The following is a 3,895-nucleotide window of genomic DNA, read 5'->3' as shown; positions in this document are numbered from 1 at the left end:
GCCCGTTTCCTGCTATCGTACTTCCTGAAACTGCAGGGGTCACGCAGACTGGTGGCCCCTGCCTACCCTCGGCCCCGCTGTCTAAGCAGCCACGCTGGGTCCCTGGGGCACCATTTCTCTCCCTACCCTCGGCTGATTGGATAAGTTTGACCCCAAAACATTCCGCCCTGGTCAGGCTAGCGGCGTGTGTTGCTGGGAGACAGGAGCTGGTTCCTTCATTGGGAATTTGGAAATTTGGAGTCCAGCGATGGGTACTGAAAAAGCATGAGGAACTTAGGTGTTAGTTTCATAGTTTTGTTGGATTTATTACATAGTTGTTAAAAATTAAGTTCCCGTAACAAGTAGTTTAAAGGAACATAATAAAAAGTACAGACAGCAGAAAAGAGAACGGCCGGTTCTCAACTGCATCAGTTCCTCTTTCCTGAGATCGAGCTGTTTAGCTTAGCCTGGGATTCTGAGCCTGTGGTCGTTTCCTTAGGTCTTGTTTTTCAAAGGCGGCAGGTCCTGGCTAGAACAGCTCAACTGCCTGTCTCCACACACTGTGTCCCTCCGCACCCGCCTGGACGACCCCTCGCCCCTGCCAGCAAAGTCCATATCACGTCATTTCTCTTACTGGGATGGAGTTTCCTCCCCTGTGTGGGATGTGGCCCCAGGGGCTTGGGCACCCTCATTTGGGCATGAGCCCATCCCATGGCCAGCCATGCTCGTGATGTGGCCTAATTTTATGCTTGTAAAAAGTTAAGTTTTAATGTCTTAATTTTAAAAATACATTTTAAATGTCATTTTGAAGAGATTGCGGGTGGGGGGAGGGGGGTCTCACTATATTGCCCAGGCTGGTGTTGAACTCCTGGACTCAAGTGATCCTCCCGCCTCCACCTCCCAAAGTGCGGGGATTACAGGCGTGAACCACTGCAGTGGGCCTCTTAAGTTTTAATTTCTGATCTGTTCTTATATTTTGGAGAAGCAATTTCACTTCCTAATTTTTTAAAAGACTGGGAACCATAAATATGAACCTTCTCCATTTCTGTCCTTTTAACAAACTTCAGAATTACCCATGGAAATAAGTGTGATTTAAGAGGAAATGACATTTTTCCTTTTCAGGATGCAGAAATTTTTAGTTGAAGTCCTGATTATATGGAAATTCCTGCATAACTTTTGGTGGCGGGGCAGAGTAGAAAACAAAAGGGTTCCCTAATAGATTTGTTATGTAAAAATTGCTAACCTTTATTCTTTCTATACCCTGCCATTATAGAGTGACAATCCATAAAATCATACTTCCTGTCAATGCACAGGCAGTGCCTGTCATATTTCACCCTCCTAGAAGTCATTAGCCGGGTGCAGTGGCTCATGCCTGTAATCCCAGCACTTTGGGAGGCCAAGGCAGGTGGATCACGAGGTCAGGAGTTCAAGACCAGTCTGGCCAATATGGTGAAACCCTGTTTCTACTAAAAATACAAAAATTAGCCAGGCATGGTGGTACGTGCCTGTAGTTCCAGCTACTCAGGAGGCTGAGGCAGGAGAATCACTTGAACCCGGGAGGCAGAGGTTGAAGTGAGCTGAGATTGTGCCACTGCACTCCAGCCTGGGTGACAGAGTGAGACTCAGTCTCAAAAACAAAAACAAAAACAGGAAGTCATCATTGGTGTGTGATTAGTGCGTACCTGTTTTTCATTCTAGATCTATCTTTTCCTTCTTTTTTCTCCTTTGCTTTTCCCTTGTGTGTTCATCTCTTCAGCAGTTGAACCAGGTTGTTCTTGAAAAGAGTCTTTTTTTTTCTTTTTCTTTTTTCTTTTTTTTTTTGAGACAGAGTCTCACTCTGTAGCCCAGGCTGGAGTGCAGTGGTGCGACCTCAGCTCACTGCAACCTCTGCCTCCCGGGTTCAAGCGATTCTCCTACCTCAGCCTCCTGAGTAGCTGGGACTACAGGCACGCACCATCATGCCCAGCTAATTTTTTTTGTATTTTTTAGTAGAGATGGGGTTTCACCATATTAGTCAGGCTGGTCTCGAACTCCTGACCTTGTGATCCGCCCACCTCAGCCTCCCGAAGTGCTGGGATTACAGGCCTGAGCCATCGCACCTGGCTGAAACAGCATCTTACCTCAGGGTCAGACTTGCGTCTGCAGTGGCTGCTGTTGCATCACTGTGGCCTTTACTGGGCCGAGTTCTCTCCAGTTGAAAGGCAAAATTGTTCAAGAGCCCATGCTCTTGCTGTCTGAGACAACCATCCAGCCCTGGGACTTCTGCTTTTGCTGGAGCTGGAAGATGGCACCAATGATGATGTTTGAGTGTGTTCTTGTTGGTATGTTGGAATATAAGACACATTTCTTGGCTGGGCATTTGGCTCATGCCTGTAATCCTAGCACTTTGGAAGGCTGAGGCAGGAGGATCGCTTGAGGCCAGGAGTTTGAGACCAGCCTGGGCAACATAGGGAGACCCTGTCTCTACAAAAAATAAAAATTATTAGCTGGGCATGGTGGCACACACCTGTAGTCCCAGCTACTTGGGAGGCTGAGGCAGGCACATTGATTTAGCCTGGGAGGTCGAGGCTGCAGAGAGCTGTAATTGTTCCACAGCACTCCAGCCTGAGTGACAAGTGAGACTGTCTCAAAAAAAAAAAAAAAAAAAGAGATAAGAACCATTTATTGACAGTGACCTAACTGTAAGACTCCGTGCTGGGTGCTATAAATAGGTGAAGGACAACTTTTCCTTACAATAATAAAAGAGAAAAACAATTTATAAAAATAATATAACCCAATGCCCAGTGAAGGAAGTCCCACGCACTCTAGTTACCAAATCTCATGACACGTATAAGAGAAGAAATTATTAGGATGACTTCTGTAGGATACAAAATTCTGGAGCTGGTAGAAAGTTTGGAGATTGTTCCATGTATGGACTTTGCAACCCACACTAAGCACTAGATTTTACACTGAGACCCAGTACACATGGACATAGATATGTAGCTGAAACATATTTTACAAACAATATTTCCTTGCCACGTGCAATGCCCTCTCACATATTCCATTTTATTCTATTATTTTAAAATGCTGTTTGCAAGCCACTACATTGATTTCCTGGCCCATGAAAATCAAACTGTTGTCTGGAGTTTGAAAACACTGATTTGGTGCAGCTCCTCACCTACGCATTATATCTCTGAGGCCCAGGAAGGCAGTGTGGCATAGCTCAAGCTTCACACCACAGTGGGGGCCCAGAGCTTACTGTCATTTTCTTCTCTTACCATGTTGGGTCACAAGCTTGGGAAAGTTCTTGGAGGTGAACACCAGCCAGGTAGAACAAAATGACCTAATGGCTGATGTCAGGATTGCTGGCTTCCATTCTCGATGGGCAGCTGAAATATATCTTATGGCCTCATGTGGGCTTCCTTTTCCTCTGACCAATGGTTTGTTCTGGTTTGCCTTGAACTGAGCAGTTTCCTGGGACGTGGGGCTGCCAGTGCTGAAACCGTGACAGTTCCATGCAAACTGGGACAGTTAGAGGACATTTATGCCCTACTACCCATGGTAAATGAGGGAACACCATTTGACCTCCATGTGCAAACAGCCACAGGCACAAACAGCTATGATTTTGATCCTTGGTATGTTATTTTGACAACCACTGGGGAATGAATTATCTCTGCAAGACAATACAAACCCAGTGACATAGACTCTTTCCTGTGTGTACCACTATTCCCTGTGCTACCAGAAAACCCCACTTCGACCCTTCTCTACGATATTTTCCAGAATTGGCTTAGAAGTATTGGCCTAGGAATCCTTGTGGTTGCTTCTGGTTGTCTTAATAGGTTGTAGATATTCTCCCTCCTCCTCTCAACCCCAAGGTTGTAGATATTCTCCCTCTTCCCCTACCCAGGTTCAGTAACTTGCCCAAGGTTGTAGATAT

At 45.8% G+C, this 3,895-nt stretch overlaps 1 long non-coding RNA gene across 6 annotated transcripts in view, besides 1 other annotated feature; it reads left to right on the top strand.

Annotated features, from left to right (window-relative positions):
* LOC105375199 (uncharacterized) overlaps positions 1-3,895 on the top strand; it is a 191,528-nt gene that overhangs the window by 29,151 nt on the left and 158,482 nt on the right. The gene's annotated exons all lie outside the window — the stretch shown is intronic.
* Positions 131-301: a silencer, noted in NCBI's record as "fragment chr7:26140958-26141128 (GRCh37/hg19 assembly coordinates)". NCBI's record gives its function as "represses an EF-1alpha promoter that drives an FKBP-Casp9 reporter gene in an ReSE screen in K562 erythroleukemia cells {active_cell/tissue: K562}" and the evidence as "EXISTENCE:reporter gene assay evidence [ECO:0000049][PMID:32094911]".

The sequence above is a fragment of the Homo sapiens genome, chromosome 7 (assembly GCF_000001405.40).
Source record: "Homo sapiens chromosome 7, GRCh38.p14 Primary Assembly".
Lineage (NCBI taxonomy): Eukaryota > Metazoa > Chordata > Mammalia > Primates > Hominidae > Homo > Homo sapiens.
This window is presented reverse-complemented; position numbering and strand designations above follow the sequence as displayed.